The sequence below is a fragment of the Homo sapiens genome, chromosome 22 (genome assembly GCF_000001405.40).
Source record: "Homo sapiens chromosome 22, GRCh38.p14 Primary Assembly".
In the NCBI taxonomy this organism is placed as follows: domain Eukaryota; kingdom Metazoa; phylum Chordata; class Mammalia; order Primates; family Hominidae; genus Homo; species Homo sapiens.
In genome coordinates, this window is record NC_000022.11 from 21,215,194 (window position 1) to 21,237,018 (window position 21,825).

The 21,825-nt window shown below is 49.7% G+C and overlaps 1 pseudogene across 1 annotated transcript in view, besides 3 other annotated features; it reads right to left on the minus strand.

Annotated features, from left to right (window-relative positions):
- GGT2P (gamma-glutamyltransferase 2, pseudogene) overlaps positions 1 to 21,825 on the minus strand; it is a 51,709-nt pseudogene that overhangs the window by 7,218 nt on the left and 22,666 nt on the right. Inside the window, exons 2-8 of the transcript NR_172944.1 lie at positions 13,567 to 13,945; positions 11,401 to 11,469; positions 10,912 to 11,085; positions 10,198 to 10,368; positions 6,673 to 6,759; positions 5,835 to 5,938; positions 1,282 to 1,474 (exon numbers count right to left, since the gene is read on the minus strand). The product of NR_172944.1 is annotated as a gamma-glutamyltransferase 2, pseudogene (transcript). The remainder of the gene's footprint in view (positions 1 to 1,281; positions 1,475 to 5,834; positions 5,939 to 6,672; positions 6,760 to 10,197; positions 10,369 to 10,911; positions 11,086 to 11,400; positions 11,470 to 13,566; positions 13,946 to 21,825) is intronic.
- Positions 316 to 816: an enhancer, noted in NCBI's record as "H3K4me1 hESC enhancer chr22:21569798-21570298 (GRCh37/hg19 assembly coordinates)". NCBI's record gives its function as "activates a minimal SCP1, AML or CMV promoter by ChIP-STARR-seq in naive H9 embryonic stem cells {active_cell/tissue: H9 hESC(naive)}" and the evidence as "EXISTENCE:reporter gene assay evidence [ECO:0000049][PMID:30033119]".
- Positions 817 to 1,317: an enhancer, noted in NCBI's record as "H3K4me1 hESC enhancer chr22:21570299-21570799 (GRCh37/hg19 assembly coordinates)". NCBI's record gives its function as "activates a minimal SCP1, AML or CMV promoter by ChIP-STARR-seq in naive H9 embryonic stem cells {active_cell/tissue: H9 hESC(naive)}" and the evidence as "EXISTENCE:reporter gene assay evidence [ECO:0000049][PMID:30033119]".
- Positions 16,486 to 17,044: an enhancer, noted in NCBI's record as "OCT4-NANOG hESC enhancer chr22:21585968-21586526 (GRCh37/hg19 assembly coordinates)". NCBI's record gives its function as "activates a minimal SCP1, AML or CMV promoter by ChIP-STARR-seq in naive H9 embryonic stem cells {active_cell/tissue: H9 hESC(naive)}" and the evidence as "EXISTENCE:reporter gene assay evidence [ECO:0000049][PMID:30033119]".

Here is a 21,825-nt window from a genome sequence, read left to right on the forward strand (position 1 = left end):
GGATTACAGACGTGAGCCACCGCACCTGGCTCAGAGGGCCTTTTCTAACTGGAGAATTCCTGCCGGTGTCCCTGCTGCTTGGCCTCTTCTCCTCACGATGAATGGATAGAGGGAGGGAGGGAGGCTCTTAATTCTCCTGGAGTCAGCTCCAGACAGGGTATTGGCATGCCAATTTCCAGCCTCAGTGGTAAAGGTCGACACGCTAATCACCCTCCTCCATGAAACAGTGACAAAAATTACCTGAAGAAAGCCACAGCCAAGCTCCAGGCCCCTGCCCCACAAATCCCCTTCCCCATGCCTCTCTCAAGGCGACCCTCATCCCTTGTAACCCTCTTGGTGAATCAAAGCGCCCTCTACTGGGCCTTAGCCCAGCTGTTCCTCTGCTAGGAATCCCTTCCTCTCTCTGCCTAACGAAGTTATCTGCAGCCCAGCCGCCACCTCCTCCAAGAAGTCCTCCTGGATCTTCAGGCTGTATTCTAGTGCTTCCCTAGCCCTGGCTCTTGCCTACACCTGCATTTACCCCAACAGGGACTTGCTCTCCTGGACTGTGTGGCCTCTCTTGGTTTTGATATAAGCAGGAGCTGTGGACCCACATGGCCAGTCACTGACCCTCCTCCACCAGGAACTTCCTGCAGGCTCAGGCAAGACAGGAGGACCCCATGGCTCTGGGCTACAGCTCAGGGTTTCCACTGCAGAGTTCCTCACCCAGGTCCTTGAGGTTACCCACTCACCAGCCGCCTGGATGTCCTTCACAATCTGGGCCATGAGGCTGCCGTTGTAGAAGGCCTGGGCACCCTCGATGGCCAGCATCTCATAGGTGTCAGCCAGCCGCGGCAGGGTCAGTCTCTCCCCCTCCCGAAGCACCTTTCTATCCCGGCAGAACACCTCACCGGGGCAGAGGGGGCTCATGTGAGGCAGCAGGTGGGGTGGACTCAGCTAGACCACCCCCCACACCTGCCCACACAGGAGACCAGCACAAAGCAGGGGCAGCACCTGTCACAGGTGGGTGGCCCTGTCACTCAGCGCTCATCCTCCTAGTGTCCCTTCCGGGAGCCTCCTAGTGTCCCTTGCCACTCAGGACACGTGGCCAGCCACAGTGGCCACTGGGACCCCATGCTCAGAATGTGTCCCCACACGTGGTGGGAAGGGTCTGTATCTCCTCATCCCATTATCAGCACAGGGTCCTGAAGGCAGAGGGCCGCTCCACTGCTGCTACGGCCTGCAAGGTCCTTGGGCTGTGCCTGCCCTGCCTGTGTCAGGGGGCCGCACCCACAGACATACCACAAGACAGGCTGCTGCTCGATGACAGTCCGCTTGTTTTCCAGGACTGCCGCCAAGCCCTTGCCCACAGGGAAGCCCTGGCGGGCCAGCTGGATGCTGGGCTGGAAGAGGCGAGCCCAGGGCAGCCGCCCATGCCGCTGGTGTGCCAGCTCATAGCCTCGGATCTCCCCAGGCACCGCCACCGACAGCCCTCCTGGGGAGAGAGAGCCACAGTTAGTGACCCTGAGTGGGGGACATCGGGATCTCTAGCAGGCAGCATCCCAGGCACAGTCCCTGACTCATTTTACAGATGGGGCAATGAGGCTTAGGAGGAAAGATTTTTTTTTCTTTTTTGAGTTGGGGTCTTGCCATCTTGCCCAGCCTGATCTCGAACTCCTGGATTCAAGCAATCCTCCCACCTCAGCCTCCTGAGTCGCTGAGATTACAGGCGTGAACAGCACACCTAGCAGAAGGGGATTTTTAATTTTTAAATTTATTTTTTAATTTTAATTTTTTTTTTTTAGGAGGGGATGTTTAATTTTTTTTTTTAGGAGGGGCTCAGCAGGTAGGAGTGTACATGGACCAGGGATGTCTGAGGAGGGCACAGCAGGGGAAGCAGTAGCATGCGGCTGGGTTTTGCTGTCCCAGGATGAGGTGTCTGTCTGTACAGGTGCCTGCATGTCTAAAATCCTGTGCCAGGCCAGACCCCCTCCCATCTCGCTGACCACAAGGCCTTATCCTGTAAGACTCATGGGCTCCACCAGAATGTGCCAAAACAAGAGCAGATCCCACCCTGACCCAGGTCAAGCACAGGCCACCTTCAAGACACAGCCAGCCCCAAGAAAGGGCTCCCTTCCTCTTTTCTACTGCCCCAGAGAGGCAAGACTGAGCCTTAACCTCCATCCTGTCCCCTCTCCCAGCCTCAGTTTCTCCAACCAACTATAAGGGTTTTTGTTTGTTTGTCTGTTTTGAGACAGGGTCTCACTCTGTTGTCCCAGCTGGAGTGCAGTGGTGCAATCATGGCTCACTGCAGCCTTGGCTTCCCAGGCTCAAGCGATCCTCCCACTTCAGCCTCTGAAGTACCTAAGACTACAGACATACCCCACTGCACGTGGCTTTTTTTTTTTTTTTTTTTTTGAGATGGAGTTTCACTCTTGTTGCCCAGGCTGGAGTGCAATGGCACAATCTTGGCTCACTCCAACCTCCACCTCCCGAGTTCAAGTAATTCTCCTGCCTCAGCCTCCCAAGTACCTGGGATTACAGGCATGTACCACCACGCCTTGCTAATTTTTGTATTTTTAGTAGAGACGGGGTTTCACCAGGTTGGTCAGGCTGGTCTTGAACTCCTAACATCAGGTGATCCATCCTCCTCAGCTTCTCAGAGTTCTGGGATTACAGGCGTGAGCCACCACTCCCAGCCTAATTTTTTATTTTTATTTTTTGTAGAGACAGGGGTCTTGCTACATTGCCAAGACTGGTCTCAAACTCTGGCCTCAAGCAATCCTCCCACCTCAGCCTCCCAACATGCTGGGATTACAGGTGCACTCAGCCTATAAGGGGTTTTGCCTTCCAGTTCTGACTTTTGAGGAGGTCATTGGAAACAGACCCCTGGGCCTGCTTCCCCCCTGAGCCCCACTGCCCATATGGACACTACAGACACTGACCCTTTGCCCAGAAAGGTACAACTATGGCCTCTGCCCCCAGGGACTCTCCTGCTCTTGCGAGAGATGATGGGGCCATTTGCCTTGGCTTGGCGGCTGTGGCTCTAGAACTGCCTCTCCCACCCTGAAGCCTGGCACAAGTTTCCAAGAGCTGGTGGTTTCAATTCCTAGAAGCTGCACATATATCCCGGAAGGTCTGACACCCAGCATATGATTCCTTCCACCTTGTAGTTAGACAGAAGTTCTTTTTTGTTTTGTTTTGTTTTTCTTTGTTTGTTTTTGAGATGGAGTCTTGCTCTGTCTCCCAGACTGCAGTGCAGTGGCATGATCTCAGCTCACTATAACCTCCGCCTCCCAGGTTCAAGCGATTCTCCTGCCTCAGCCTCCCGAGTAGCTGGGATTACAGGCACAGGCCAGCACGCCAGGCTAATTTTTGTATTTTTAGTACAGATGGGGTTTTGCCATGTTGGCCAGGCTGTTTTCAAACTCCTGACCTCAGGTCATCCACCCACCTCAGCCTTCCAAGGTGCTGGGATGACAGGCGTGAGCCACCGTGCCCAGCCAAGACAGGAGAAGTTCTAATCTTTGATAGCAGACCAGGGTGACGATGCTTAGCAACAGTATTTTGTATATTTCAAAGTAACGAAGAGAGGACTATGGTGCTAACACCCGGAAATGAAAAATATTCAAGGTGACGGAGACTCCAAATACCCTGCCTTGATCATTATACACTCTATGCATGGAACAAGCACTCACATGTACCCATAAATATAGAAAATATCATGTATCAATATCAGAAAAAAATCTCCTCCTGACCTCAGCCCAATCAGGCTCTCATGCCACCACACTTGCCAAGTTCTCTGGTGACCCCCACACTGCCAGACCCAGTGCCCCCTCTCAGCTTTACTGGGCTCATCACTCTCCCTGAGAGCCGCCCCTGCATCCCAGCACCTGGCTCCACCCGAGTCTCCCCCGCCTGCCATCCTAGCTCCTACTCTCCCCTCTGTCTTTGCTCTCTCTCCTGGTGGTCTGCTTGACATCTGAGCTTCAGCCTCCATTTATGCACTGACAACTCTCAAATTGACCTGCTGGCCTGGACTGCTCCTCCGATCACCAGACCTGAGGATCTACCTGCCTGCTCGAAGAAAGCATCTCAAACTTCAACGTGCCCAAAACCGAGCTCCTGAGTGTCTGCTCAACCTGCTTCCTGAGAACCCTGCCTGTCTCCATTAGGGTCACCCCATCCTTCCAGGTACAGACAAAAGATCAGGGGTCCCCGGGGACTCCCTACACAAGCGTCACACCCAACCCATCCTCAAATCCACAGGCTCCACTTCCAAGTGTGTCTGTGCAGCGTCAGCCACTTCCCAGCACCCTCTCCACGAATTACTGCAGTGACCTCCGGACAGGTCCCCACATGCTCCCTGCCCCTTACACAGCAATCCAAGGGGTCCATAGACCAGATCCATCCCCTTCCAGTCACACACTCCACGAGCCCCCACTTCCCTCAGACAGGAAGCAGAGGCTTCACCATAACCTAAGAGATCCCGCACAACCTGGGCCATTCCCCTTGGATCACTTGCTGCAGCCTCCCCAGCTCCCCACAGGGCTCTGTCCCTGCCATCACACCTGGATAGCAGACCAGGAGATAACTCCCCTGACCCCATCTCTGCCTCTGGGTCTTTGCTCAGATGTCCCCTTCCCTGACTAGGTCACCCTCCATAGAGTCCCAGATTTTGAGGCCCTCCAGGTCTGTTTTTCTACAGCCCGTAACACACCCGCACTTGCCTAGTTTCTCCTCCCACCTGGAGTGTCACAGATTTCATCTGCCGTCTTTGTTTTTCACCCCAGCTTCAGGAACAACAGCTGATTCTTTAAGACAATGCTCAATACATTCTAGTCAAATAAATGGTTTTAAGCGTCCACAAGGTGCCAAGCCTATGGTTCCCGCATTCTCTTACCCTCAGCAACTTCATGTCTACAGATGCTGAGTTTCTCAATGAGTATTAAAAACAAATGAAAGATTGGTCGGGCACAGTGGCTCACGCCTGTAATTCCAGCACTTTGGGAGGCTGAGGCAGGGGGATCACGAGGTCAGGAGATCGAGGGACCAGCCTGGGCAACATAGTGAAAACCCGTCTCTACTAAAAAATACAAAAAATTAGCCGGGCGCGGTGGCGGGCGCCTGTAGTCCCAGCTACTCGGGAGGCTGAGGCAGGAGAATGGCGCGAACTCAGGAGGCAGAGCTTGCAGTGAGCCGAGATCGCACCACTGCACTCCAACCTGGGCGACAGAGTGAGACTCTGTCTCAAAAAAAAAAAAAGAAAAAAAAAATCAAAGATTGAGTATGTTGCAGAAGACTCCAAAGGGCACCACCCAGGACCCCCACCTGAAGTCTAAGACCTGCTATGGTGAGTGTGTCCTGCCCCTCCATCCTCCAACTTTTTTTTTTTTTTTTTTTTTTTGAGACGGAGCTTCGTTCTTGTTGCCCAGGCTGGAGTGCAGTGGCATGATCTCGGCTCACTGCAATCTCTACCTCGTGGGTTCAAGCGATTCTCCTGCCTTAGCCTCCTGAGTAGCTGGGATATTACAGGCCTGTGCCACCACGCCCGACTAATTATTGTACTTTTAGTAGAGAAAGGGTTTCACTATGTTGGCCAGGCTGGTCTTGGACTCCTGACCTAGGTGATCCATCTGCCTCAGCCTCCCAAAGTGCTGGGATTACAGGCGTGAGCCTGTGAAAAAAAGGCCCAGCCTTTTTTTTTTTTTTTTTTGACAGGGTCTCACTTTGTTGCCCAAGCTAGAGTGTAGTGGTATAATCATGGCTGACTGCAGCCTCAACCTCCTGGGCTCAAGTGATCCTCCCACCTTAGCCTCCCGAGTAACTGGGACCATAAGCACACACCGCCATACCTGCTAATTTTTTTTTCCATTTTTTGTAGAGATGGAGTCTTGCTATGTTGTCCAGGCAGGTCTCCTGGGCTCATGCGCTCCTCCTGACTTGGCCTCCTAAAGTGCTAGGATTAGAGGCGTGAGTTGTTGAGACCCTCCCATCCTCCAACTTTTATCTCACAATCTATTGTGCCTCCTTTGGGGACAGACAGTGGCTTCCTGGATGGACAGTGGCTTCCCCTCAGGTACCTGGGGAATTTGGGGGCCTCCTCCCCACTTAAGACCAGATTAGAAAAGAGAGACTCCACCTCACATTCTAGAGCGCCATCCCCACAAATGAACAAATGAGTGAATGGGATGCCTGTTGAAAAGGCAGGATATAGACAGCCTGGGTTCAATTTTAGCTTCACCACCTCCCAGCTGTGTGACCTCAGCTGATTTGCATGACCTGTCTGAGCCTCAGCATCCCCACCCTGTAAAATGGGAATCCACACAGCATCCCCTAGCCCAAAGGAGCAGGGAGGGTTGTGAGAGGCTCGTGGGTGAAAAGCACAGAGCAGAGCATGGGCCCCAGTGAGCCCTGATCCATGAGGTCTGCTAGCATAATAATTATTCTTTCCATGTGCTGCACAGAGTGGCCCCGGAGGCCTTAGCAGAAATAACAGAAGCTCCCGGCCCTTTACCGTGGTGATGATGGTCCTGACCACTCATTGTGGGAGGGTGCTATGGGGCCAGGAAGGGATGGGGGGTGACAGAACTGCCCCTGAACCCTGACGGGAGCAGGCTTCTGTGGGCAAGGCCCCTTCCCGGTGGCTCAGCCAGCTCTGCACCCATGCCCCAAGTCTGCAGCATGGCTTACCCTTCTGGGACTGCTCCGAGCTGTTGAACATGCTGGCAAAGGCCAGCCTGGGGGCCACCTCGCGGGCATTGATGACCTCAGCTTTTCCTAGAAGAAGCAGGTAGGCAGGCCCACCCACCAAAACCCTTTATGCCACGTGAGCCTGGGGGCCACCCAGCTGTGCCTCGGCCCAACCCACACCCCCTGCCCCTCTCCCTCTCCTCTTCTGAGGCACTCATGAGTGGTGCTGTTGTAGATGGTGAGGAAGAGGCCAACCCCGATGCCCATGCTGTGGGCATTCATGAGCCCCACACACAACAGGGCTGCAATGGCTGCATCCACTGCAGAGCCACCGTCCCGCAGTGTGTCCCTGCCATGTGGCACATAAAGGCATGAGAACCTGCAGGCTTCCACCCTGGCCCCGCATACACACCCTGCTGCCCACCTGCCCAAAGGAGGATGGAAGAGAAGTCCATTCGAGTTTTGGGGTTTTTGTTTTTAGTTTCTTTCTCTTTTTTTTGAGATGGAGTCTTGCTCTATTGCCAGGCTGGAGTGCAGTGGCACGATCTCAGCTCACTGCAACCTCTGCCTCCCGGGTTCAAGCCATTCTCCTGCCTCAGCCTCCTGAGTAGCTGGGACTACAGGTGCATGCCACCACGCCCAGCTAATTTTTGTATTTTTAGTAGAGATGGGGTTTCACCATGTTGGCCAGGATGGTCTCTATCTCTTGACTTCATGATCCGCCTGCCTTGGCCTCTTTTTTTTTTTTTTTTTTTTTTTGGAGACAAAGTCTCTCTTTGTTGCTCAGGCTGGAGTGCAGTGGTGTGATCTTGGATCACTGCAGCCTCAGTCTCCTGGGCTCAATTGACCCTCCCATCTCAGCCTCCCAAGTAGCTGGGACTATGGGCACATGCCACCATGCCCAGCCAATTTTGTTTGTTTGTGTATTTTGTAGAGATGGGGTTTCATCATGTTGCCCAGGCTGGTCAAGAACTCCTGTGCTCAAGTAATCCACCCACCTTGGCCTCCCAAAGTGCTGGTATTACAGGCATGAGCCACTGTGCCCAGCCTTTGTTTTATGAGACAGGGTCTCACTTTGTCACCCAGGATGAAGTGCAGTGGCACAGTCTTGGCTCAATGCAGCTTTGACCTCCTGGGCTCAAGCAATCCTCCCACTTCAGTCTCCTGAGTAGCTGGGACTACAGGTAAGAACCACCACACCGGGCAATTTTTTGTCTTTTTTGTAGAGATAGGGTCTTTCTATGTTGCCCAGGCTGGTCTCAAACTCATGGTCTAAAGCAATCCTATCGCCTCAACCTCCCAAAGTGCTGGGATTACAGTTTCTTCTTTTTCTTTTCTTTTTTCTTTTTTTTTTTTTCTGAGACAGAGTTTCACTCAGTTGCCCAGGCTGGAGTGCAGTGGCATGATCTTAGCTCACTGCAACCTCTGCCTCCTGGGTTCAAGCGATTCTCCTGCCTCAGCCTCCTGAGTAGCTGGGATTACAGGCGCACACCACCATGCCCGGCTAACTTTTTATATTTTTAGTAGGGACAGAGTGCACCATGTTGGCCAGGCTGATCTCGAACTCCTGACCTCAGTGGTCTGCCCGCCTCAACCCCCCAAAGTGCTGGGATTACAGGTGTGGACCACCTTGCCCAGACAGTTTCCTCTTTATTAAGCAAACAAATGTACATGACTTTTATAATTGGGACAAAAAGGGAAATTGCTATACTTTATTAATAACATTTTTTTTTTCCCTGCTAGAGATGGTGGCTTACACCTGTAATCTCAGCACTTTGGGAGGCCAAGGTGGAGGATCACTTGAGGCCAGGAGTTCAAGACCAGCCTGGGCAATAGAGTGAGACCATCTCTACAAAACAGTCTTTTTTAATTAGTCAGGTATGATGCACGCCTGTAGTCCTAGCTACTCAGGGGGCTGAGGTGAGAGGATCGCTTAAGCCCAAGAGTTCAAGGCTGCAGTGAGCTATGATCATGCCACTGCACTCCAGCCTGGGTGACAGAACAAGACCCTGTCTCAAAATATGAAAAACATAATATTTTTTCTGTTTAAGTCTTTAGGAGGGAACTTATCTTTATATATAACATGAGATAAGAGTCTAAAATAGAATAACACAGTAGAAGCCAGGCACCATGGCTCACACCTGTAATCCCAGCACTTTAGGAAGCTGAGGCGGGAGGATCACTTAAACCCAAGAGTTTGAGGCTGCAGTGGGCTATGATCGCTCCCCTATACTCCAGCCTGGGTGACAGAGTAAGACTCCACCTTAAAAAAAGAATAAGCCCTTCATGTCCCTGTTTGGGCAACAGCGTTCCTTGGGGGGAGGGGGGAGGGGGGAGGGATGGCATTGGGAGATATACCTAATGCTAAATGACGAGTTGGTGGGTGCAGCACACCAACATGGCACATGTGTACATATGTAACAAACCTGCACATTGTGCACATGTACCCTAAAACTTAAAGTATAATAATAAAATAAAATAAAAAAAAGAAAGAAAGAAATTGTCTCCTAACCAAAAAAAAAAAAAAAAAAAAGAAAAGAAAAGAAAAGAATAAGCCGGGCGTGGTGGCTCATACCTGTAATCCCAACACTTTGGGAGGCCCAGGTGGGTGGATTACCTGAGGTCAGGAGTTCGAGACCAGCCTGACCAACATGGTGAAACCCCATCTCTACTAAAAACACCATAATTAGGCCAGGCGCAGTGGCTCACACCTGTAATCCCAGCACTTTGAGAGGCAGAGGTGGGAGGATCACAAGGTCAGGAGTTCAAGACCAGCCTGGCCAACATAGCAAAACCCTGTCTCTACTAAAAATACAAAAATTAGCTGGGCATGGTGGCACATGCCTGTAGTCTCAGCTACTGTGGAGGCTGAGGCAGGAGAATCACTTGAACCTGGGAGGTGGAGGCTGCAGTAAGCCAAGATTGCACCACTGCCCTCCAGCCTGGGTAACAGAGCGATACTCTGTCTCAGAAAACACACACACACACACACACACACACACACACACACACATATACACACACACAAATTTGTTGGGCGTGGTGGCGCACTCCTATAATCCCAGCTACTTGGGAGGCTTAGGCATGAGAATCGCTTGAACTTGGGAGGCGGAGGTTGCAGTTAACTGAGATTGCACCACTGCACTCCAGCCTGGCAACAGAGCAAAACTCCATCTCTAAATAGATATAGATAGATAGATAGATAGATAGATAGATAGATAGATAGATAGATGATAGATAGATAGATAGATAGATAGGAAGAAATAAGTAAAAATAACAACCAAACAACAAAACAGTGGAGTTTATCCAAAGAAACAGAGACTCTTAGAACTGAGAAAAGGGGCCCTGTTTGGCTCTAGAGACCCACACCCTGCTCTCGGAGTCACCGTCCCCTTCCCAAAGGCTACTGAGAGAGTCCAAGCGAAGCTTGCATGTGGGGAAACTGAGTCTCAGAGGGGTGAAGGTATTGCTCAGGTCCACTTGCCCAGTTTTCAGGGCCCATGTCCCATGCCCTGCCCCGCTCACCTCCCAATCTCCAAGCACTGCTTGGCATCCGCGGCCATGGCAGCCCTGGTGTACACATGGTTGTCAGGTTCCTTGGAGGCCGAGGGCAGCCAGAGACAGAGGCCGACAATGACCAGCACCAGGACCACGGCCAGCAGGCCCAGCACCACTAACTTCTTCTTCATGGCTCTGCTGCACCCACGGGGTAAGGAGCAGGGTCAGGCCCAGCCTCAGACATGCCCTGGCCCCTCCCCAACAGGGCACAGTCTAAAGTCGGGCCTCAGAAACACAAGGCCGGAGTCTCCTTCCCGCTTCCCAGAATACGTGCAGGCTGTCCGGCCCCCAGACCTTTGCGCAGGCCATGCCCTCTGCCAGAAGCTCTGGGCCTCATCTCTGCCCTCCCAAATCCTCCCTGCTTATCTTCAGAGCCCATCCTGGTAAGAACCCCATCTCCAGCAGCGGCCCTTCCTGGGAGCCCCCAGATTTCCACACCCCTCTTTCTGCAGGGCCTGGCCTACCTCCTCACAGTGGCTGAGCCTCCACTGCTTAGGGAGAAGCTCCAGCAGGGATGGGCCTGGCCTGGTTTCTCCTGCGTCCCCCACCCCAGCCTAGAGCCTGGCACTGTCCAGGAGTCCTCTGAAGACCCTCCACCCCACCTGGAGCATGGGGTTTAGCTTCCATAGTGCCCACAATCAGAGCGCCCCACAGATTCACTGCCACGGGGCCAGGACTTACCGTCCAGCAGCAGACGGGGGCCCCAAGCCTTGCCTGGGGTGTTGGCCACGAAAGACAGGAGGATTTGGTGGAAACAGCTGAGGAAATAACCGGGGTCTCCCTCACACTCTGCTGAAGCCTGTAGCCACAGAATCTTCTTCAGAGACTCTCTGATCAGGCAGCCTTCTCGTTCTCCTGAAGGTCAAGGGAGGTTACCTGAAGCACGCACAGCCCAGACCTTTCTGGGGGACTCCGTGTTACCTCCCTCTGCCTCTAGCTGGTTTCTCTGTCTCCAGTTGAACTCTGGAGGCAAAGAGGCTGTCAGTAACACATTTGTTTCCATGAATTCTCTCAGCATGTCTCCCAGGCACAGGGTTTTGCACGGAGCAGGGCAGGTAGGGGACAGGGCATTCCTGCACAAGCCCAGGATGTGCATGCGGTAAGCATGGCAAAGGGGGCTCAGGAGGCACCGCCAGCCTGCCCTGCTCTGACGCTGGACTTGCCACTCACCTGCTGTGGGGCCTCAGGCAAATCACTGAACTGTCCAGCCTGGATGACGGCAGCACCTCACTTGCCTTGCTGCTGGGAGTGTTGTGAATAGAGTAGGTTAGACTGTGGGCAGGGCTTGGTGAATGGTAGCTGTGATTATCATCATGGCTGCACTGGGGACACCCCCAGGAGGCCTGAGTGGCACAGGTCTCTTGCTCACTGTATGTCCCCTGTGGACTCCCTTCCAGGCTGTGCAGTGAGTGGCAGCAGTGACCCTTGGGAAGTCTCATGGCTACGGCAGCAGGTGACAGGTGTGACAACAGGGAAGAGGGATGTGGTGACAGAGGTTGGGGTTCCCCTCTCCCACAGTCAGTTTCCCACAAAGGGCGGTGTCTGCCAGCAAGCCCCTCCAATGAGCCCCAAGCTTGGTTTCCCTCCACTCCACGCTGTCCCAGTGCAGAGCATCTGACCTCAGAGGCAGACACACTGTCCCAGAGGTGGTCTACGAATGGAGTCCCCGTGCCCTCCCCACACACAGGGAACATCCAAATGCCATCGTGGAAGGGTGGCCACCTCCCCAGGCTTGGTGGGCCTGGGGCCGATAGTGTGATACATTTGACCCCCTCCCAGCCCTGGATGCAGACACCAAGAGCAGAGAGACCTGGCAGTAGCCATGCAGCAGCGCACCACCCCACATCCCCAGCACAATCCAAAGCAGCCCCTCATCCCCACCGTGACCACCACAGCCTGAATCCAGGCGCCACCTGTTTCTGACCTGAACTCCCTCACAGCCCCTGCCTGCACTCCCTCCCTCCAACATCACCTGCCCTTCAGTCTTCCAGAAAGCAGCTAGAGGGCTCTGTCTGTCCAACTGCAGAACAGGCCCTGCCTCCTCCCTGCCCTGTTGGACAGCTCACACCCTTCACCAGGCCTGACAGCGCTCTTGCCACTCCAACACCCCGGGTCCCAGCCGGGAGTCCGGGTCAGGGTTAAGGGTTCCTGGTAGAGACACCGATTCCTGGAGGTCCAAAGAGCCTCAGGAGCTGGGCCAGCAATATGCAGCATCTATTATGGACACAGAACATTCCCATCACATGGCCGGGTGCAGTGGCTCACGCCTTTAATCCCAGCACTTTGGGAGGCAGAGGCAGGTGGATCACCTGAGGTGAAGAGTTCGAGACCAGTCTGGCCAACATGGTGAAACCCCCATCTCCACTAAAAATACAAAAAATTAGCCAGGCATGGTGGCAGGTGCCTGTAATCCCAGCTACTCAGGAGCTGAGGCAGGAGAATTGCTTGAACCCGGGAGGTGGAGGTTGCAGTGAGGCAAGATTGCACCACTGCACTCCAGCCTGGGCCACAAGAGTGAAACTCCGTCACACACACACACACACACACACACAAAAAAAAAAAAAAAGAAAAAAAAGGTCTCCTGCTGGAACACAGACTAGTTAGAGAAAGGAAAAATAAACAAATGATAGTATGTGTATTAATAAAAGAACTAGCAACACCCACTGCTTAGTTGTGATAATAAAAACTGGACATTAATATAGGCAGAAAAACAGAACAGCCTTGATATGGTTAACCCTTTGACACTGGCAAACACTGTGACCAGTGCTGCCCACACTGGAAGCTCCTGCATCCCTCTTCCTCATGTTTCCTTCAGCATTAAGGAGCAACAAGGGAGACAGCCAGTTCATAGTTCCTTACGCATGGAGCCAAAGGACCTTCAATGTACAAGGTCTGAGCAAGGACCCGCAGCCACATGTGCTTCCTGCTTCAGCAGTGCCCCGTGGGTCTCAGAGCTACCCAAAGGCCTATCCTTCCGAGAGGTTTCTCCTCTCTCCCAACTGATGTCATACGTCTCATCTTCCTTGTCATTCAGATCATCAACCACAAACGTCCTTGCCTTATATTTTCATATCCCTTTTCACCAGTTACAGGGTTAGTTAACTTACGAAATTCTTAACATCTGCATTAGATCTTTTTAAAGTTTCACCCTCAACCACCTATTATTTAGAAGTGAACACAGAAATTTAGTTTCCTTGTGCTATCTGTTGACCCCTAAAATATGCTGGGAGTTTTGGGATTTTTTTTAAAGTCAAATGCATGGCATAAAGCAAAATTACACTACTAAAGAACTGAGTCAGGCCAGACGCTGGCAACGTGAAGACAGCTTCTCCTTACCCACTAGGTTCATCTTTGCACTGTTAACTCCCAAAGTATTGCTTCTCGGTGCTGGGTGTGTGGCATTCATATTCCCCGGCATCCCGGGCCTGAAGATCTGTGATGTGCAATAGGGTTGGGTTCCCCTGGACTCTTTCTATGAAGATCTTCCCTCCGCGGACGCGCTGGGTGTAGATGGCATAGGGGAAGGAAGAGTCCATGGTGCTGACGATCTGCACCTCTCGCTCTGGCGACGAAGGCAGGTAAATGGACCACTGGAAATTCTGTTCAGAAGGTCCCTGGTAGCCACTCACATTGCACCAGATAGTGATGTGGGAGCCCTCCGTGCGGTACAAGGGTCCTTCCTGAACGGTGACCTGCCGCTGTGCTGACACCACACCTACGAGGGAGAGAAACACACGCAACATGCTCACTTACTTCTCAGACCAAAATGCAAAGTAGGCAGCAATCTCCAAAGGGTTTGTTATTTGTGTGACATGATAATAATATAAACAGCTTACTGGCCCTTTCAAAGGCACTCTGTGATTTATAAATATTAATTAAAACACTCTGTGGTAAAGCACTGTCCCTAATTTGCATATATGGGAATTTGATCATGCCAAGATGTGCTTTTGTTACTTATTCAACAGCTGACCCTTGGGAATTTCATTTAGCCCCTCTGTTTGTCATGTATACGGCAGTTTTATATCTATTTATTAATGCTGTGTATAAAGTTTTTAATAAAATAAGCAGGAAAAGTTGAATCCTTGGCACAAATTCAGATGAAAACAAATAAAAGCAACCATCTAGGAATCTGGCTGAAATTAAATGCTTCTTCCTTGGTCCGAGTGCTGGTGGGAGGGAGTCCTGGGAGCACCTTTTTACTGGTGCTGCACCCTTCATTTTCCCATGTAGCTGCTCCCCAACACCACCCCAAGGAGCATTCCTTAGTTTCTCTTCCCTCCATAAATGGAGGCAGAGCTGAGCTCCTGCAGGCTGCTATCGTTTTAAGCTGAGCACACCCAAATACAAATGTGAAGGGCTGAAACAGATCCCTGATGCCCAGATTCCCACAAACTGACAAAGGGGGGAACTAACAGTGCCCAGCTAAACCTGTGACAAGGACAGTCAGGCTACCCTTGAGTTTCCCACTCAAGACTCCCCCGCTGACCTCCTGCCTTCTGGCTCAGATACTGTTCTCCAAGGTCACTTCTGCCTGCCTTCTCCATGTTCTTCTTAAAGTGGCATGGTGAGTTTAATTTCTCATTTCGTGCCAACTCAACATTGATTGTGCCTGAGCCACTCAGAAGGTGGGAGGGGGCACACCCCTGCCTCTTCATTTCGGCAGTGGTCACGTACTGCAGGTTGTGAAAAGCGCAGGTGAGTTATAGGCGCAGCTTTGCCACCAATTAGAGCTGGTTGTGTCATCTCAGACAACTTGCTTTTCTTCTCCAGACCTTGATCTTCTCATCTATCACATGATTTCTAAGAACGCTTTAGAGAGCACTAGCATGGGTTCCGATGCTGGCTTTGTCACTTATTAACTGTGATCTTGGATAAGCTGCTTAACCTCTCTAAGCCTCAGTTTTCTCATCGGTAAGATGGGGATAATAATGCCTGTCTCATAGGGTTATTGAGAAGATTTAGTAACATCTGTAAAGACCCTAGCACAGAGCCTAGCCCACAATCAGTCCTCAATAAAGAGCTGCTGGCTAAGACATATTTCTGCTGGAACATTCTGTGGCTCTGGATCCATAGAGGACAGGATTTGGCCAATGACTGCTTAAGGACATTTCAACGGCCCCTTGACAATGACACCATCACTGGGCTGCCCACCTCATCCCACAGCTGCAGCCCATTCTTGTGATAGCTTCCCTTTTCCCCCACAAATGGGAATGGCGGCTGCCCTGGCTATGCCTATCTGAAGTGGATCCAGCTGGTGAACAGCCGGGACAGCTCAAATACTAGTGGAGTGCAGCTCTCTGCCCAGCCCAGCAGGTGACTGTGCCTCAGTGTAAGCTAATCTAATCTGCAAGATGACAGACCTCAAAACGGCCCATACAATGAAATGCCCATGGCTTGCAAAACTTTAATTCATGCAGAACCTTTCCTCACAAACAAAATCTTACACAGCACCCCATCTTGGCTTCAGCAGAACCAGGAAAAATAAAAAATTGGCAGGGGAAGGAAATAAACAGAACAAGTGGTATCTGAATTTATTTGATATATTCTGGTTGATGGCATTAATTATGACATTTAAAGTCACCATGAGGACAACTCATTAGTAATATCAGTATGTTAAAATATGGTGCATAACATTTTTAATATATGTACAGTCATGCACTGAATAACATTTCAGTCAATGAGGAAACACATGTGCAACAGTGATCCTGTAAGATTATAATGGAGCATATATAGAGATCTAATATATGGCACTTAATGTTGGCATGGCAGATCAAGTAGGGGAAATGACTGATATTTAGTAACAGTGCTGGGACATTTGATTTTCCATAATAAAATATATAAATGAAAATATATATCCCATCTAGGTTTGTTGAAATACACCCTATGATGTTCACACAAGAATGAAATTGCCTAATGATGCATTTCTTAAAACATGTCCCCATCATTAAGTGACCCATGACTGTATACACACACACATATGGTGACACTTAAATCAAATGATTGCAGTATTCCTGAAACACAGAACATTTTGCAAACAATTTACCTACATTCATAACATTAGGCATCCTTAGAATTGCAGTGTTCTATGACAGAGCAACTACAACCAACCCCCATCCATCTCCTGCAAAGAAGGCTGGAGGCAGGTCAGGGTACACCAGCATCTTCAAGAACTGCTTCTCAATCCTGGACCTACACTGGAATCACCTGGGGAGCTTTAAAAAAAATAACAGTGCCTGGACCCCACCTGACATAACTGGTCTTAGGATTAATTAGGGTTTTTTTTGAAGCTCCACAGATGATTCAAATCAGGTGTAGCAAAGCACTGTTACTTTAAAGTGTCTCTACCTACATGGTGCCAGCCAAGTGCTCAAATGAAATATCTTAAGGCTCTCACTGGCTTTAAGTTTCTCTCTTTGGTAGAGACCCAATCACTGGTTCAAGGAAGTTTCATTCTCCTCCAGTCTTCCCCAGTGCAAAAGAAAACAGCTGAGACCCATCAGATACTGGCTTTTGTGATGCAATAATGAGTTTAACCAGAATGCATCCGATTTACAGACCTTACAAAGGCACTAGGCCAGCGGATCATGCACGTCCTCCCCACCCAAAGGTAAACAGTGTTAAGTGGCCTGAATGAGCCAGGACAGCAGGGTCAAATCAACTTGTCTAGGCTGGAAGCAGGTTATAAACAATCCGGACAAATAAATAACTACTGGATTGCACTTTAACCACACACATTCAGCTGCACCTGTTTATTAAATACCTCCTTAATTTCCCTCTGCCCCACAAAGGGCTTCTGACCCCTGAAAATAATGCTTCTCAACATAAAAAGAATTGTTTTCTTCTTGGCAGTTTAATTCCCCTTCCACACATCCCACCCCACCATTTCCCTATAATGGTAATACCCCGCTGTGCAGACCTCTGCTGCCTCCAGAGAGACACAGGCGCCCAACCCTGACCAGGGCATCCTCTGACCCACAGCCCCTCTATCTCCCCTCTCAGCCTACAATAGAAAGTTCCTCCCAGGCAAGGATCATTTTTTTTAAATAACTTTTTTAACTTTAGACATTCTGTACTCTTTGGATTACTCTGCAATAAGCAAATATGACTTCTGTAACATAAAAAGAAAGATCAAAATGTTATATATAACTGCATGAAAAGAACTAGAAAGAAAATACTAGGTGACAGGATGGCAAGTGATTTTTATTTTTTTCTTAATATTTTACTCCTTCCCCCAGTCCTCTGCAATGAGTATGTACCAGTTTTATAACTAGAAAAAAATTTTAGCCAAAAAGAAAAATAATGCATGTTTGCTATATAAAATTCACTACTGTAGTATATATATATACATACATACATATTTGGTCTTTGTCCCCAGTTCCTGGCACTGAGCTCCTAAACCCCTTGGAACTTCCTAAGCAATGGGAGTACCTTTTGTTATTTATAAGAAGCCCCTTTTGGCCATCCCAGAGTTTATGCTAACGAGGTGACTGAAGGTGAGCACGGAGGCAGTTTCAAGGAAGGAGCTGGCCACGCTTAGAATTGTGGAGTTTTCAGCCCCGCCCTTAGACCTCCAAGGACAAGAGGGGGACCGCAGATTGATCCAATCAGCATTGGTCAGTGATTTGATCAGTCATACCCACGTAATGAAATCCCATATGAAAACCCTAAATAATGGAGTTAGGAGAGCTTCTGGGTGCTGGAAGCGGCGTGCACCAGGAGAGGGCATGGGCAGTGAGCACTACTCCCCTCTCAGACCTTGCCCTATGCACTAAATAGGACTGACCTATGTGACCAATAGGAAATGCACAAATGGTGGAATGTGACTTCCAGGGCTAGGTCATAAAAAGACAAGCACGATGTTATGAGGACATCAAAGCAGCCATATGGGGAGGACCCCATGAGGCCTCCTGCCAGCAGCTAGCACTAACTTGGCTAGCATGTGACTGGAAGTAGATTCTCCAGCCTCAGTCAACTCAGTCAAGCCTTCAGATAATGTCAACCCCAGGCATCTTTTTGTTGTTGTTGAGACAGGGTCTCACTCTGTCACCCAGGCTGGAGTGCAGTGGTGCAATCATAGCTCACTGCAGCCTTGACCTCTGAGGCTCAAGTGACCCTCCCACATCAGCCTCCTGAGTATCTGGGACCACCAGCACACACCACCATGCCTGGCTAACTTTTTTATTTCTTATAGAGATGGGATGATATGGTTGGGGTCTGTGTACCCACCTAAATCTCACGTTCAATTATAATCCCCAATGTTAGAGGTGGGGCCTGGTGGGAGGTGACTGGATCACAGGAATGGATCTTTCATGAATGATTTAGCATCACCCTTTTGGTGCTGTGCTTGTTAGAGTTCTCCCAGTATCTAATTGTTTAAAAGTGTGTGGCACCTCCCCCCTCTCTCTCTTGCTCCTGCTTTGGCCATGTAAGGCGTGCCTGCTTCCCCTTCACCTTCCACCATGATTGAAAGTTTCCTGTGCTTGCCCCAGAAGCTGAGCAGATGCCAGCATTATGCTCCCTGAACAGCCTGTGGAACTGCGAGACAATTAAACCTCTTTTCTTTATAAATTCTCCAGTCTCATGTATTTATAGCAATGTGAGAACTGACTAATACATAGGGTCTCACTGTGTTTCCCAGGCTGGTCTCAAACTCCTGGGCTCAAGTAATCCTCCTGGCTTTGCTTCCCAGAGTGTAGAGATTACAGGCATGAGCCACTGAACCTGCCCCTTTCCCCCCAACAACATCTTGATTGCAACCTCCTAAGAGACTCCGAGTCAGAAGTATCCAGTTAAGATGTTACTGACTTTCTGAACTACAGAAACTGTGAGATAATAAACATCTATTGTTCCTTTAAGCCTTAAGTTTGGGGCTTTTTTTTTTTACACCAATATATAACTAATGTAGACACCTGCAGTCCCTAAGATTGAATGCAAAATTGTGTTACATACACATGAGTGTGTTCTTCTGGGAAAAGAGTCCATAAACTTCAAAAGATTCTCAAAGGAATCCAAGACCCAAAAAGATTAAGAAACATTGCATCAGACAATAAATTGTCAATGAGCAAGGTCCTGTCCTTTTAGATTGGGTTTTGAAATCACCCATCCCACAAATATATGATACCACTTAACTAGTTTTTCAAGATATTCCTTGTTCAAAGATGCTCCCACTTTTTCTTTGTGCTCAAGTCCTAGATAAACTTGGCTAGGGGCAGGAGGTATGATTCAGGAGTTAGTGAGCCGGGAGGGCTCACTGTGCCTGGGAAAGCCAGCTTCTCATGAATTTTTGGAATATGCCTTGGCTCAGAAACCTACCTCTCTAGGCACAGGATCCAACTTATACGTTCAAGATGCGTGACTGAGCATGTGAAAGTGTCAGAGGGATCGACCTCACCATTTTACATCTACTTTTCCAGTTGTGGCCCCTACAATCATCAAGGCTCATTCGGCACCATGCTCCTCCAAATTCTGCATGCGACTCAGCCACACTAATATCTTTCTTCATCTATAAGATGAAAGTAATACAACGCACCATGTAGCAAACTCACAGGAGACCCTAGAGATCAAATAACACTGTGAAAGCCACCAAATGAATATTTTAAAATTTTATCTCATTTCTGCCAAGGTGAGATATCAATCTAAAAACAGGATAAATCTTTGTAAGTACAAGAACATTAAAAAGAACATTAAGTTTGGGTTAAAAATGCAAAACTGCATATGCAGGAAAATTACGTTAAAAAAAAAAAAATCCTACACCTACAAAAACAACCAAACAAAACATTGATGATACTGGGCTGATTCACTGAATGGTGAGAATATGAGTGATTTTCTCCTCTCCTATTTTTCTCAATACCTTTTCTCTATTATCTCCTTTTTTAAATAAACAAGTATATATTGTTCTAAACCGAAGATAAATGATCATGAGCAGCACTTTCCCAGGCACTGTCCTAGTTGCTCTGCATACATCATCGCATTTAATCCTCACAACAGTGAATGGGGTCGATTTCATTACAGCCACATTTACCAGACAAGGAAATGGTTTTCAAGGTTAAGTAACCTTCTCATGACACAGAATGTGACTAAGAGTTTTCTTATTCCATGGCTCACACTAAATGTGCTCTGTGAATATCAGTGAGAAGTAATAAAGCACTGACTGGATTTTCTTGGTCACCGGGTCCTAAAAGAAATGTTGGGGAATCTATGCAGTCCCAAGTTAAAAATGGGAACTGAACTGAGCTGCCACAGCATGCTGAATAGGTGGAGTCCAGGCCAACTAAGTGCTTCATGGAACTTAAAGGCTCCAGAGGGAAAGCAATCGGGAAGGCACTTCCACAGGCACATCGGTGACAACTTCTGGGGATTCTTACCTGTCAGCCTTCAGCCAAGGAAGGACAGGAAGTGGCATGGGCTAAAAGATCCTTTGTTTGACCTCTTTCCAGATCAGGTGACAGGAAAACACAACACTTGAACCTTTCCAATAAGGACAGCCAGCACTTACTGAGCCCCAGCCAGGTAACTGACACTGTTCCAAGTACTCTGCTTGTATAACCAGCTTTAACCTTGCAACAGCCCTCTGAGGTAAATACTCCTAGTGACCTCACTTTACGGATGCAGAACCTGAGGCAAGGAGTTAGGGAGTAAATGAAGCTGGCTAAAGGCACTTGCACTGGCCAGGCACAGTGGCTCATGCCTGTAATCCCAGCACTTCCAGATGGATCACTTGAGGTTAGGGGTTCGAGACCAGCCTGGCCAACATGGTGAATCCCCAGCTCTACTAAAAATACAAAAATTAGCCGGGTGTGATGGCACAAGCCTGTAATCCCAGCACTTTGGGAGGCCAAGGCAGATGGGTCACTTGAGGTTAGGGGTTCGAGACCAGCCTGGCCAACATGGTGAATCCCCAGCTCTACTAAAAATACAAAAATTAGCCGGGTGTGATGGCACACGCCTGTAATCCCAGCTACTCAGGAGGCTGAGGCAGGAGAATTGCTTGAACCTGGGAGATGGAGGTTGCAGCAAGCCGAGATCGCACCACTGCACTCCAGCCCACTCGGTCAATGTCACTGCCATCAAGGGACAGTCTAACCAAGGTCCAGATGGCACAAGTGGAGCCATAAAACCAGGACAGCTTGAGGTTCAGCTTCCTAAGCCCACAGGTGCAAGGACCTTATCTGGATCCATACTTTCATCAAAAATGTCCCTTGAGGCCAGGCACAGTGGCTCATGCCTATAATCCCAGCACTTTGGGAGGGCGAGGCAGGTGGATCACCTGAGGTCAGGAGTTCGAGACCAGCCTGGCCAATATGGTGAAACCCTGTCCCTACTGAAAATACAAAAATTTAGCCCAGCATGGTGATGTGCGCCTGTAATCCCAGCTACTCCGGAGGCTGAGGCAGGAGAATCGCTTGAACCCAGCAGGTGGAGGTTGCAGTGAGCCGAGATCATGTCATTGCACTGTGGGCTGGGCAACAGAGCAACACTCTATGTAAAAAAAAAAAAAAAGGTCCCTTCAGGATTCCTCGAGCCTGGGAGGCCGAGGCTGCCATGAACAATGATTGTGCCACTGCACTCCAGCCTGGGTGACAGAGCGAGATCTTG